At 35.4% G+C, this 15,964-nt stretch overlaps 1 long non-coding RNA gene across 2 annotated transcripts in view; it reads right to left on the reverse strand.

The window, feature by feature from the left end:
• The window catches only part of LINC02755 (long intergenic non-protein coding RNA 2755), a 258,473-nt gene that overhangs the window by 25,862 nt on the left and 216,647 nt on the right, over window positions 1-15,964 (reverse strand). The window lies entirely within an intron of this gene.

Here is a 15,964-nt window from a genome sequence, read left to right on the forward strand (position 1 = left end):
ATATTACCAGCTGGCATTGTTGAAAGCAGGGAACAAAGAATTATTTTCTCAGCTGATGAAATGACAACCAATTATTATATCTTCTTGAAGTAGTATGTTATGCTCTCCAAAAATACCAGAAGTCATTCATTGTTCTTAACTGCTACGGCATGTTTTTAATATGCTGGCTAAGAAGTTACCAGAGGTTGCAGTCAAGCTCAGGAGTGGCTCATGATCATTGTAGGGAAGGAGCTGCCTAAAATAAATGCGCAAACCCATACTTCATTGACCAGCCAGCATAAGTGTTCATGAAGAGCCCCCATGTGCCCAGCTTTATGCTGCATAGCCCACTCTCTTTGATAGGCTAGCACCTTCTCCAGACATTGCTTAAAACTCTCTTGTAACTTAAAAACTATGTTTCTGTTGACTTTTTTATTATTATTATACTTTAAGTTCTAGGGTACATGTGCACAACATGCAGGTTTGTTACATATGTATACATGTGACATGTTGGTGTGCTGCACCCATTAACTCGTCATTTACATTAGGTATATCTCCTAATGCTATCCTCCCACTTCCCCCAACCCCATGACAGGCCCCGGTGTGTGATGTTCCCCTTCCTATGTCCAAGTGTTCTCATTGTTCAGTTCCCACCTCTGAGTGAGAACATGTGGTGTTTGGTTTTTTGTCCTTGTGATAGTTTGCTCAGAGTGATGGTTTCCAGCTTCATCCATGTCCCTAACAAAGGACATGAACTCATCCTTTTTTATGGCGGCATAGTGTTCCATGGTGTATATGTGCCACATTTTCTTAATCCAGTCTATCATTGATGGACATTTGGGTTGGTTCCAAGTCTTTGGTATTGTAAATAGTGCCGCAATAAACATACGTGTGCATGTGTCTTTATAGCAGCATGATTTATAATCCTTTGGGTATATACCCAGTAATGGGATGGCTGGGTCAAACGGTATTTGTAGTTCTAGATCCTTGAGGAATTGCCACACTGTCTTCCACAATGATTGAACTAGTTTATAGTCCCACCAACAGTGTAAAAGTGTTCCTATTTCTCCACATCCTCTCCAGCACCTGTTGTTTCCTAACTAACTTTTTAATGATCGCCATTCTAACTGGTGTGAGATGATATCTCATTGTGGTTTTGATTTGCATTTCTCTGATGGCCAGTGATGATGAGCATTTTTTCATGTGTCTGTTGGCTGCATAAATGTCTTCTTCTGAGAAGTGTCTGTTCATATCCTTTGCCCACTTGTTGATGGGGTTGTTTGTTTGTTTTTTTCTTGTAAATTTTTTTAGTTCTTTGTAGATTCTGGATTTCATTCTCTTTAGAGATGCTTCATCAACATCATCATCATTGTTTTTCTTGCATGTTGTTAATATTCAGTGGGAGGTCTCTCACTCAGAAAGTTTAAGCAACTTGCCCAAGGTTACCATAACTCACGTCTTCAAATGCTCAGTCCTGTGCTATATACCACACTGCTTTCTGGTACAATTTAAATTATATTACACCTTGTATATTACTTTAAATGTATGTTCTGATCTACCACTCCATTATCTTTTCAAGCTATTCAGTTACTTACTAATGCACAAAAAAAAGTGTTCGCTTGCACAAAGAAAATCTTTATTCAAATAAATCCTAAAGTGGATTATTTAGTGAAGCAAGATTTATTTGTAGTCTCTCAAATTCATATTTCATTTTATCTTTATCGTGAACATAAACAATTGTATACCAGTATTACATTAATTTAATGAGGCTTACCTGTCATGTATAATATAGATTTGTGTGTTTCAATTTTTTTGTCTTGAATAGGGCTGTGCAGTGTTTTACTACAGTTTAAAAAACATAGTCAAAAAAAGGCTGTACAACCACAGCACTTGAATTCTCTGAACCAGAGAGGCCTTTTAAATTCTTGCAAAAGCTCCAAATTCTCCTCTCTGGAAGAAACAGATACATATACCTACAACATTTTGCATATGATTTTCTAGGGTTAGTGTAACCAAAGAAGCCTGTAAGAGAACTCCCTTGGTGTCCAGGACCCCTGATTAAGAACTTTGCCTTCTCAAGTGCCTGCCAATCTCTCCTCAATATTTTGATAGGAAGATTACAAGGAAGAAGATGGTGGAAAAGAAAAGTTGATGTCCCAAAGAGCAATAATTTAGATCTAGGGAAAATAATAGGAGAGAGAAGAGGGAGTAGGGGTATGGATACCTGAGAGGAAATTGGCAGAAATTAACCAAGTAAATTTAAAGATGTCTTAAATTTGATATTCAAAATATTGTCTGTGTCTCTTAGTCATGTAAGCTCCTCCTAGCTCTAATCCTTAAATCTCCAGTAAAAGCCTCCTGTGTGTGACTGCCTCACGGGAGATGAATTTGTGTGTAAAGAGCTCAAGTAGTAGATGCCGTCTTCAACATTTAAGTCAATGACAGGGCAGCAACAGAGAAACAGATGCAAGATGCAGAAGCCAGAAATCACAGCCAGACAGATAAGAAAAATAGTTTTTCAGAAACTAAAGACATCTTGGCATGCTAGATTTCCCATAGGATGTAGAACTGACTTTAGAGCCAATTTTATTCTTACTTTAAGTGGGTAAGTAACTTCAGCTCTTATCTTATTTACTCTGACTTATGACTAGCTCTCAAGAATTTGCAAAAGATAAGCACAATAATTATTTTATCTACTTGGAGACCCTACAAGGTGGGCTTTCCCCCCTCACCTTTACAAATGAGGAAACTGAGGCTCACAGTATAAAATAACCAAGATCACAGACTTGGCTCAGAGAGCTGTCAGGAGCTCTAACCTCTCTCCCTAACTAACCTTGTGCCCTTTCTTCTGGGACGCACTGCCTATTTGAAAGCAAATGCTAAATGATGGCTTGCTAGTGCTTGGTCTTTATTGCCACTTCTTCCCTATTGTGCCTATATATAATATTTCCTGCTGAGACCAGTTACAGCCTTAGTCTGCTACTAAACACACTACTCCAGGGGTCACTATCATCAGTTAAGAATTGGCAGTCGAGGTGAAACCTATTTAGCATCACTGTCTGAAATGACTTGGGTCAGATTTCTCCCAGAAGTCTATTGAGATTGGGTGAAGAAATCAGAACTAAGACGATTTTAAAGAAATAATTTGGCCATCAGTGTTTTTCAATTCCAGTTTTGTCTTTCACACCTGTGTCCCAGTTTCAAATTTTCCACAGGACATTCCCATGTGAATACACTTGTAACCTGAATAGTCCCCAGGTAAGACGGAGAAGCATATTTGCAGAAGTCCAAGTTATACGGATCACTCACTCTTGTTATTTATCTTGTATTTCACATTACAAAACAGTTTTGAGTGTTGAAATAAAGATCCAAAAATTTTCCCTTGGGAGAGTTGCATTTTCTCTCTCTCTCTGAGAGAGAGAGAGAGAGAGAGAGAGAGGGAGGGAGGGAGGGAGGGAGGGAGAGAGAGGGAGGGAGGGAGGGAGAGGGAGGGAGGGAGGGAGAGAGAGGGAGGGAGGGAGGGAGAGAGAGGGAGGGAGGGAGAGGGAGGGAGGGAGGGAGGGAGAGAGAGAGAGAGAGAAGGAAGGAAGGAGAAGGGGAGAAAGGAAGAAACGAAGAGAGAAAGAAAGTCTTTATGAGAGAAGCCTCTCCTCCATCCTCTAAAGCTCATTAGCCCTGTCCCCACCCCATTATCCTCCATCTCAGCTCCTAGTTCTTTTCCCTCTTGTTACACTTATCACAAGTGGTAATTAATTAATTACTGTTTAGTGAAAATCACTTCTGCTTTACTATGCCCTCCAAAAGACAGGTATCACATCTGTTTTGGGTACTATAATATCTCCTGGCAGAAGGAATAACACATAATAGGCGCTTCAGTAGTAATTGTGGAATAAAAGAAAGTCTATAAAATGTGCTCATGAATAAATGAATTGCAGTGCCATGTCTGCTGAAGACTAAGTCCAGTTAACTATATACTTCCCTTACATCTGTACACACAATATTCTGGAATGTTCCTCATTCCTACCGTTATTCACCAATTGTAGCAACAATGTTCCTCTCTCCCTGAGTTTTTACCTTGGACTGCTACCTGTGACTGACTTCTTCTGCTTTGCATTTTCTAGTCCTCATAGAAACTGATTTTATGTCCCCAAGTGTGCCACAGTGTTTGGGATTTGCTCGCTATCATTTGTTTGCCTAATCCTACTGTGCTCTGTCTAAAATAATGCTTGTTCATTTTTTGCAAAGACAGTGAAAGTAAGGCAGTTATTCTCAAACCTAATCAGCACAAATACCTGAGTTTTTGCATATAATTGCTTTTCAGGACCAAATCTTATAGAAGGATAGTCTCTAGGGTTAAATATCTGTAAGGAAGTGGTATTTTGTAACAAGCTCCTGGAGTGATTATTATGATTCAGGGTTAGGAGCTACTAAGGTAGAGAAGAGGTCACCAGCTTTGGAATCATATGTGGATTTGAGTCTTTGCTCACAGATGGGTTAACTCTATGACTTCAACCAATTAATTAATCCAACCATGTTTCCCAATCTGTACAATGGTAAAGAGGCCAATGGTAGAGAGGTGGTTTTTACCCGACCTCCACCTTCAGTCTGTTCAGAAGCAGACCAGCTTTTCATACTAATTTTCCATAAGAGCCAGACCCAATATTTTTCACTTAAGCAAATAGCTTTTCTAGACTCCAAATTACAGGATGAATTCTTTTTCTAGAAAAAAGTATTCAAATCTGAATAAACCAAGTAATTATACTTTGACATAAAACACCTCATAATATATGATATCTTCATCATTTATAATCAGTAGCTGAAAAGATATTGTTGATGTACTATTGCTATTCCTTCCAAAAGCCCCTTATGTTGCTGCCATCAGGACCCTGTCACTGGTTCTACCTCCCTGCTGCAGGTCTCATAACCAGTCGCCTACAATCTTCTAAAAGCAGTAGAGGATATACCTCTAAAAGCAGTAGAGGGTATAAAATCCTCTAAAAGCAGTAGAGGGTATATCTCTACTGCTTTTAGGCCTGTGGTCAGGCTGGCCTAACCCCACTGAGATACAAAGGCCAGTAGCTAATATCCCCAGTACAGCGCCAAAGGAAACCCCACTCCTGCTGCAGATGTAATCTTATCACACTGTCCTGGAGTCCCAAATTAATCTCTTCTTTGCAGTAATATTACAAATGATGCACAATATTTTAAAGATCACTGTGAGTAATGTCATAATTTATTTATGTTAAAAGTTGAAACAAAATGAGTGGCATTTTAATCTCATTGAATGTGTACTTTCTAGTCCTGGCGATAGGACTAGCACTATGTCTTTCATAGGCCATGTTTAGTGCTACTTCCTGCTAACCTTGACTCAGTGGTCAGGTTAAGTTCTATCATTTTCATTGCTATATAGGGTAAGATATGCCTCTCCTCCCTTAACTGGACATGACATAGGTGTGTCTTCACCTGGGGACAAGGACTGTGAGCAAGTACACATCTCTATCTCCTATTAAATAAACTTCCCTTGCAACACAAAAACTAAACAAGTCTTCTCAGATCTCTGGGAGCCATTCACTCCCCCTGAGTTAGACTACTCTTTTTTGTGTTCAAGCATAAGATACTCGATCCTGCCTTCAAAGACAACTCTGTTTTTTAGTGCTGAATTTCTGAACATAGACATGGGTGGAGTTTTCTTCAGGATATCCTTAGGGGCTGGTGAGGGGGGTGTAAAGAAGAATTTAATGTGATCAGGCATAAAGGTTCAGTAGAACCAGAGGGTAACAGTGAAAGGGAATGAAAAACAAAATGTCTTTTTATTGTCTCTCTCTTCCAGAAAGAAGAATGAAATAGAAGTTAATTTCACTGTATATTTCCTTGCCAAATTTAATCAAACATATATTTGTAGTTCTCTCCAGTGTCTCATGGAAATAGAGGGAATACCGAAGTTACTAAGGATGCAGCTAACAGTAACCAAAATTATATCAATATATCCAATATATTTATATTATTAAAATTATTTTCACTAGATCATCAGTTTTCAAAACATCACTGGGGTAAATACTATTCATAATAAGTATGTTTTATCCCAAGAAAGGGCTTGTTTTTACTGTTAACATAATTCTAGGGGGCAGTGTCTGATGTACTTTCCTCTTAGGGAAGTGTTTTAAAAGACTGTTCTAAACCCTGCTGTAAAGAACTTTATTGAACCTTGTTTTCACCCATTGTTTTCTCATTTTATTTATGACCCTACAGCCTCAGGAAGAGCCTGCACATTATTGATCTTAGAGACTGTGTTAGTATTTTGAACATTCAAGTTGAAAAAGATACTATAACTTCCTTTGCCCCTTCCCTACCATTTTTAAATACTTGTTTGGGGTTTGATAACCTCTCTGCAAAGATGCCATGGAGACACCAGCAGAACCAAATTCCCTGGCTCCAATCGCTGTCGCGTTGACTCTGAGGAAAGAGATTGAAATTTGGAAGTAAAAATAGCTTGAGAGATTGTAAATAGCAAAGGCAGAGGGAAAGGGAGGCAGTAAATGATAAGAGATGTAGCTAAATATTTATATATACAAAAAATGAAAACATGAAAAACGTTCCTTCTGAAATACATAATTAAGCTCAAGACAGAGTAGGCAGATGGGAGTCAGTAATTACAGGTTCCTAATGTATCCAAAATTCCCAGAGAATGAAAGTGTTGCTACTAATTTTGTAGCTTCACAGTTTATAGCTTGTTGCTGTTTATAACAGGCGCTGCTCCATTAACACTTGACATTCCAGTTAAGATAGTTTGCATTTAAAAATAAAGCTAGCAGAGCAAACCCACACAATTTCTGACCTACTTAGACTATTTATGTGAAAATGCCATGTAAAGTAAGGTTATTATGCATGTCTTGCAGTTATTAGCATTACCATCATTCTCCTTATCATTACAGGCATTTCTGGTGTCATAGAAAAGACTGGATATGGGACTCATTTCACTTCTACAAATATAGTCATGCACTACCTAATGACACTTTGGTCAGTGACAGATGACATATACGACTGTGGTCTCATATGATTATTATACTCAAAATTTACTGTACCTTTTCTATGTTTTTTTAATTATACTTTAAGTTTTAGGGTGCATGTGCACAACATGCAGGTTAGTTACCTATGTATACATGTGCCATGTTGATGTGCTGCACCCATTAACTCGTCATTTAACATTAGGTATATCTCCTAATGCTATACCTCCCCCAACCCCACAACAGGCCCTGCTGTGTGATATTCCCTTTCCTGTGTCCAAGTGTTCTCATTGATCAATTCCCACCTATGAGTGAGAACATGCGGTGTTTGGTTTTTTGTACTTGGGATAGTTTGCTGAGAATGATGGTTTCCAGTTTCATCCATGTCCCTACAAAGGACATGAACTCATCATTTTTTATGGCTGCATAGTATTCCATGGTGTATATGTGCCACATTTTCTTAATCCAGTCTATCATTGTTGGACATTTGGCTTGGTTCCAAGTCTTTGCTATTGTGAATACGGCAGCAGTAAACATACGTCTGCATGTGTCTTTATAGCAGCACAATTTATAATCCTTTGGGTATATACCCAGTAATGGGATGGCTGGGTCAAATGGTATTTCTAGTTCTAGATCCCTGAGGAATCGCCACACTGACTTCCACAATGGTTGAACTAGTTGACAGTCCCACCAACAGTGTAAAAGTGTTCCTATTTCTCCACATCCTCTCCAGCACCTGTTGTTTCCTGCCTTTTTAATGATTGCCATTCTAACTGCTGTGAGATGATATCTCATTGTGGTTTTGATTTGCATTTCTCTGATGGCCAGTGATGATGAGCATTTTTTCATGTGTTTCTTGGCTGCATAAATGTCTTCTTTTGAGAAGTGCCTGTTCATATCCTTCGCCCACTTGTTGACGTGGTTGTTTGTTTTTTTCTAGTAAATTTGTTGGATTTCATTGTAGATTCTGGATATTAGCCCTTTGTCAGATGAGTAGATTGCAAAAATTTTCTCCCATTCTGTAGGTTGCATGTTCACTCTGACGGTACTTTCTTTTGCTGTGCAGAAGCTCTTTAGTTTAATTAGATCCCATTTGTCAATTTTGGCTTTTGTTGCCATTGCTTTTGGTGTTTTAGACATGAAGTCCTTGCCCATGCCTATGTCCTGAATGGTATTTCCTAGGTTTTCTTCTAGGGTTTTTATGGTTTTAGGTCTAACATGTAAGTCTTTAATCCATCTTGAATTAATTTTTGTATAAGGTGTAAGGAAGGCATCCAGTTTCAGCTTTCTACATAGGGCTAGCCAGTTTTCCCAGCACCATTTATTAAATAGGGAATCCTTTCCCCATTTCTTGTTTTTGTCAGGTTTGTCAAAGATCAGGTAGTTGTAGATAAGCGGCATTATTTCTGAGGGCTCTGTTCTGTTCCCTTGGTCTATATCTGTTTTGGTACCAGTACCATGCTGTTTTGGTTACTGTAGCCTTGAGGTATAGTTTGAAGTCAGGTAGCGTGATGCCTCCAGCTTTGTTCTTTTGGCTTAGGATTGACTTGGCAATGTGGGCTCTTTTCTGGTTCCATATGAACTTTAAAGTAGTTTTTTCCAATTCTGTGAAGAAAGTCATTGGTAGCTTGATGGGGATGGCATTGAATCTATAAATTACCTTGGGCAGTATGGCCATTTTCACGATATTGATTCTTCCTACCCATGAGCATGGAATGTTCTTCCATTTGTATCCTCTTTTATTTCATTGAGCAGTGGTTTGTAGTTCTCCTTGAAGAGGTCCTTCACGTCCCTTGTAAGTTGGATTCCTAGGTATTTTATTCTCTTTGAAGCAATTGTGAATGGGAGTTCACTCATGATTTGGCTCTCTGTTTGTCTGTTATTGGTGTATAGGAATGCTTGTGATTTTTGCACATTGATTTTGTATCCTGAGACTTTGCTGAATTAGCTTATCAGCTTCAGGGGATTTTGGGCTGAGATGATGGGGTTTTCTAGATACACAATCATGTCATCTGCAAACAGGGACAATTTGACTTCATCTTTTCCTAGTTGAATACCCTTTATTTCCTTAGTCTGCCTGATTGCCCTGGCCAGAACTTCCAACATTATGTTGAATAAGAGTGGTGAGAGAGGGCATCCCTGTCTTCTGCCAGTTTTCAAAGGGAATGCTTCCAATTTTTGCCCATTCAATATGATATTGGCTGTGGGTTTGTCATAGATAGCTCTTATTAATTATTTTGAGATACATCCCATCAATACCTAATTTATTGAGAGTTTTTAGCATGAAGGACTGTTGAATTTTGTCAAAGGCCTTTTCTGAATCTATTGATATAATCATATGGTTTTTGTCTTTGGTTCTGTTTATATGCTGGATTAAGTTTATTGATTTATGTATGTTGAACCAGCCTTGCATCCCAGGGATGAAGCCCACTTGATCATGGTGGATAAGTTTTTTGATGTGCTGCCAGATTCGGTTTGCCAGTATTTTATTGAGGAGTTTTCCATCGATGTTCATCAGGGATATTGGTGTAAAATTCTCTTTTTTTGTTGTGTCTCTGCCAGGCTTTGGTTTCAGGATGATGCTGTCCTCATAAAATGAGTTAGGGAGGATTACCTCTTTTTCTATTGATTGGAATAGTTTCAGGAGGAACAGTACCAGCTCCTCCTTGAACCTCTGGTAGAATTCGGCTGTGAAGCCATCTGGTCCTGGACTTTTTTTGGTTGGTAAGCTATTAATTATTGCCTCTATTTCAGAGCCTGTTATTGGTCTATTCAGAGATTCTACTTCTTCCTGGTTTAGTCTTGGGAGGGTGTATATGTTGAGGAATTTATCGATTTCTTCTAGATTTTCTAGTTTATTTGCATAGAGGTGTTTATAGTATTCTCTGATGTTAGTTTGTATATCCGTGGGATCGGTGGTGATATCCCCTTTATCATTTTTTTTTTTTGCGTCTATTTGATTCTTCTCTCTTTTCTTCTTTATTAGTCTTGCTAGCAGTCTATCAATTTTGTTGTTCTTTTCAAAAAACCAGCTCCTGGATTCGTTGATTTTTTGAAGGTTTTTTTTGTATCTCTATTTCCTTCAGTTCTGCTCTGATCTTAGTGATTTCTTGCCTTCTGCTAGCTTTTGAATGTGTTTGCTCTTGCTTCTCTAGTTCTTTTAACTGGGATGTTAGGGTTTCAATTTTAGATCTTTCCTGCTTTCTCTTGCGGGCATTTAGTGCTATAAATTTCCCCCTACACCCTGCTTTGAATGTGTCCCAGAGATTCTGGTATGTTGTGTCTTTGTTCTCATTGTTTTCAAAGAACATCTTTATTTCTGCCTTCATTTCGTTATGTACCCAGTAGTCATTCAGGTGCGTGCAGGTTGTTCAGTTTCCATGTAGTTGAGTGGTTTTGAGTGAGTTCCTTTATCCTGAGTTCCAGTTTGATTGCACTGTTGTCTGCGAGACAGTTTGTTATCATTTCTGTTATTTTACATTTGCTGAGGAGTGTTTTACTTCCAAACATGTGGTCAATTTTGGAATAGGTGTGGTGTGGTGCTGAAAAGAATGTATATTCTATTGATTTGGGGTGGAGAGTTCTGTAGATGTCTATTAGGTCCACTTGGTGCAGAGCTGAGTTCAATTCCTGGATATCTTTGTTAACTTTCTGTCTCGTTGATCTGTCTAATGTTGACAGTGGGGTGTTAAAGTCTCCCATTATTATTGTGTGGGAGTCTAAGTCTCTTTGTAGGTCTCTAAGGACTTGCTTTATGAATCTGGGTGTCTGCACTCTCAATTCTATTGTATTCATCTATCCTTCTACTATGCATCTTGTTTTGATTGTTGATACTTTGCAGTAAGTTTTGAAATTGAGAAGTGTAGCTTCTCCAACTTTGTTATTCTCTTTCAAGATTGTTTAAGCTATTGTGGATCCCTTAAAATTGTATATAAATTTTCTAGTCAACATGACAACTTCTACAAAGAAGTCAACTAGTCAACATCGTTTTTCTGATGAAGATTGTCTTAAATCTATAGGTCAGTTGGGCAATATTGTTATTTTAACATTGTTTATTCTTCCAGTCCATGGATGCGGATTGTTTTCCCATTTATTTAGATTTTCCTCAATATCTTTCAACACAATTTTTTAGTTTTCAGAATATAAATTTAGTTTTCAGAATATAAACTTTGTTCTTCTTTTCTTAAATTTATTCCTAAGAATTTTATTTTTTTGATGCTATTGTAAACAGAATTTTCTTAATTTTATTTTTAAATCATTTAATGTGTATATAAATACAATTCAAAAACTTTCCCTTACTTTATTTTTTCTTTTACTTATTTATTTGTGTTTCTGACACATAGGAGAGTATTTCCTGCAGACAACATATAGTTGGGTCATACTTGTTTAATTCATTCTCACAATCTCTACCTTATGATGGGATTATTTAATTCATTCACATTTAAAATTATTGATATATTTTGATATATATCTATCATTTTACTTTTGTTTTCTGTAGGTCTTATGTCTTTCTTATTGTTCCATTTCTCCTTTACTACTTTTCTTTTAATTGAGTGAATGTTTTACAATGTAGCATTTTTAGTTTTATGCTCTAGAATTTAATATGTATTTCTTAATTTGTGAGAATGAGATTCATATTTATAATAGCTCAATTAAAACAAGATATATTATTCCTTACATTGATCTGTTCCCTCTCCCACTTTTGTGTTATTATGGCTCTATATATCTAATCAATGTTACAACTTAACAATAGATTTTTATAATTATTACTTTGCCATATCCTACCATTTTCTTAGTCCATTACACTTTTTCTCCAACTCACCTCTGTTGGCAAATATATTACGTATCTATATGTTACAAACCCTATATTATATAAATACCATTTTAAACAATTGCCTTTAAGTAAACTAAGAGAAAAAAAGAAAAATGTGCCTTTTATAACTTCATTGTTACCTTTACAGGTGCTCTTGTTTCTAAGGATTTAAATTACTGTCTGGGGTCACTTGCTTTCATCCTTAAAAACTTCTTTTAGTCTTTCTTTTAAAGCAAGTCTGCTAACAATACATTCACTCAGCTTCTGTTCATCTGGGAAAGTATTTTGCTTTCATCTCTGAATGATAGCTTTGCTGGATATAATATTTCTAACTGACATTTTCTCTAAGACTTTGAATATGTTACTCTACTGCCTTCTGATAGCCATTGTTTCTTCTGAGAAGTCAGCTGTTAATCTTTTTGAGACACTTACAAATGACACATTATTTTCCTCACCAGCTTTAAGATTTTTCTTTTCTTTGACTTTTATAAATTTTTCTATGATGTGTCTGGTTATGGGTCTTCTATATCCGTCCTACTTAGAGTTCACTGAGTTTCCAGGATGTATAGGTTATTGGCTTTTTAAAGTTTAGGGAACTTTCATTCATATTTCTTAGAAAAATTTTCTTTTTCTTTTTCTCTCCCCTCTTCTGATAATTCCATTACTTGTATGTTGGTGTGGTTAATGGTGTCCCACAATTCTCTGATGCTGTGTACATTTGTCTTTATTCTTTTTTCCCCACTGTTCTTCAGCTTACACAGTTACTATTGATCCATATTCAAGTTCACTTTTTTTAATCTACCAGTTCAAATCTAATGCTGAGCCCTGCTATTGAATTTTGATTTCAGTTATTGTACTTTTCAACTCCAAAATTTTCATGTAGTTCTCTCTTATAATCTTCATCTTTGTTATTTTTTATTTTTTGACATTATCATTATTACACCATCCTTTACTTCTTTAATTGTGAATTTTTTTCAATTCTGTTAACATATTTATAATAGCTACTTTGAAGTCCTTTTTTTTTGTTGTGGTTAAATCCAACATCTGACAGACATCTGGTGATTTCTGTTACCTGCTATCATTCTGTGTATGTTATACTTTCCCATTTCTTTGCATGCCTCATAAATGTTGTTAGAAACTGAACATTTGGGATAACATGTTACAGCAATTCTGAATATTAGTCCCCTTCCCCCAGAGCTTGTTAATTCTATTTGCATGATTATGTTTTATGACAGGCTAGATTATTTTTTTGAAGTCTATTTCCTCTCTACAGTGTTAAGACTCTGATACTGTTCCTCAAGGAGGCTCAATTTTGTGTATGCTAACAATCTCATTGGAATGACAATAGTACTGATAGGGCTCTCTCCCATTCTTTCCCTGATCACACCCAGCTGTTAAATCTCACAAATTTCTAAGTCAGTTTGCTTTATTGTTTTCAACGTTGTCCTAGGATATGAACTTATATACTAACTAATCCAACTAAATTGCGGCTTCTTTCATGGAACAATTTCTGAGTTAAGTATTTTATATTTGTTCTGACTCTGGGAAGGCTTCTCCCAGCTCTTCTATTCTTCAGTTCTCTCCTTCAAACTAGCCAGCCTGCGGTCTTTTATGTATTTTTTATTAGATTGACAGTATCCTCCCAATTGACTTTCACCACAGACTCTACTGTTTTTGAGAGTATGTTCAAGTTTAAACTAATTCACATTATTTTTACTAATGTAGTCTGTTCTAAATTTTTGTAGACTCTCTTGAATGCATATTTATTTGTTATTTGACCTTGGGACCATTTCCAGGAGCTTTAGTTTTGTTTTGTTTTGTTTTTTTCCTACTTTCACCAGTTTTACTGGGGAATGAGTTAGCAAAGCTCCTTGTGCTTTCATGCCATAAGTAATGCTCTTCCAGTCTTATATACTTACAGTTAATGTTTTTATAAACTATAGTTAATGTTTTTATAAACATTATAATGTTTATATAATTTATATATTATGTTTATAATAGTGTTTATATATGTTTATATATACTATATAAAAACATGCTTTTATAAACATTAACTATAGTTAATATTTTTATAGTTAATATTAACCATATTTTTATAGTTAATATTAACCATATTTTTATAGTTAATATTAACTATATTTTTATAGTTAATGTTTAAAATTTTTAGTTTTGCTTCTGTTATAAATAATATTTTTAATTTTTATTTATTGTACTTAAATATAGAGAAAAGCTATTGATTTTTGTACATAGATCTTAAATATAGTCATTTAAAAAATTTTTATATAGTCTATATTTTTAAATAGCATTTGAGTGCTTTTAATAAATAGCATTTGAGTGCTTTTAAGTCACGGTGAAGTCATTCTAAACAAGATGGTTTTCCTTTTCCTTTTCCCATGTTTATGCTAATTATTTTATTGTCAGGCCTATTTCATCCAATAGCATATAGAAGGCAGCATTGAGTGACAATATAATGAGAATCCTTGTATATTTTCTGATTGTTATTGGTATGATTCTGTTGGTTTCCATTTCAAATTATGTTTGGTATTGTATTTTGTTATGTTTGGTATTGTATTTTGTAAAGAGTCATTATCATTTTAAGTAGATTTCTTCATATTCTAACTTATTATTTATAACTGCTGAATTTGACAAATGTCTTACTATCATCTAATAATATTATCTCTATACACTTAATTAATAAAATTAGATTGCATTGCTGTATTTCCTGTAATTAAATTACACTTTTCTTTGAATAAAAGGTCTACTTGGTCAATACTTAATATATTATTTTTATGAGGAAGCCAACTGTTCTTCCAGCTTCTATCTCTCCAACAACAGTTACTTATGGGGTGCATAGACGTGTTCTTGGAGTAAGCTAAATCCTTTTTTGGGGGGAGAATCTAAAATCTCACATTCTCTGGGTAACCCCGCCCAAACCCCAACCTCCACACTGTCATTAACAACATGGATTTCTGTTAAATTTAAATTTACTTGTTAAATTTACAACTCAATAATCAGGAGACAGAAGTGTCTTGAAAGCCAAATACAGATAGTGTTTCAAGAAAGAAGAAATCATCTCTTTGAGTCAAATTGTGTTGAGGGTCAAGTGGTGGGTGAAGTAAGATGAGAACTTAAAATTGACCAGTGAGTGATTTAATCTTGGTCACATGGTCATTTTTCAATTTCTATCTTACTTGCTATATTTGGCTTCCAAAAAATCTTCTGTCACTTGTTGGTCTTCATACCTAAGCGGCCAGTCCTTCTCCATTGTTTTTGGTTCTTTCCCATTCTCTTTACCTCAATATAGGAGTGCCCCAGAAATCAAAATATACTACAAATTAACTAATTCTTTTGGTAATCTCACCAAATCCTTTGATGCAAATGCTTATGATTTATATTAAATATGTTACCAAATTTATCTTTCTGACCAGGCCTTTTATCCTGAAATCTAGAATATTGTGAACACACAATTTATGTATCTAAATGCTTACTCAAGAGTACCATTTGAATATATAATGAACAGGTTCAGAACATACCCCTAATCATTTCCTCCAACGCTTTAGTCATTCAAATTTCAGGAATGGCAGTTCAATTAATTACTCTAAGCACTAAGAAAAAAATATTTAAATTGTATCTAACATTCATCGTTCTCTGTACCCCACATCATTCCTGTTTTTTTTTTCTTTTAAATAGACATAGTGTACATAGCCATTCTCTTATTTCCTTAATCATGTTCACAACAGGTTTATCTGTTTTCTCAGTCTTTGAAAAATGCTAAATTTTGAATTTATTTATCCTTTAGGCTAGTTTAGGTTTTTATATTTTACACATTTTTTAAATCTTTGTATATTTTCTCTTTCTAATATTTTATTTTTTCTTACCTTGTAAAATGAGTAATAACTTTTTCATTTTTTATTTATTTATGAATAAATTTAAAGCTATACAATTTATTTTGAAGGTATCTTTTGCTGTATTTCATAGATTTTGGTGGGAAATATTATTCTTTTTCTTATTTCATAATCCATAATTTGTTTTAATATTCTGTTTAATCCATGGGTTGTTCAAAAGTTTATTTTTTTTTATTTTTGTATACTCGTATCCTAACTTTTTGTTAAAATTGTTGTCTTTCTCTTCTAAAAACCTCTATTTTATTAGCTAATTCTTTTAACTT

The sequence above is a fragment of the Homo sapiens genome, chromosome 11, assembly GCF_000001405.40.
Source record: "Homo sapiens chromosome 11, GRCh38.p14 Primary Assembly".
NCBI lineage: Eukaryota > Metazoa > Chordata > Mammalia > Primates > Hominidae > Homo > Homo sapiens.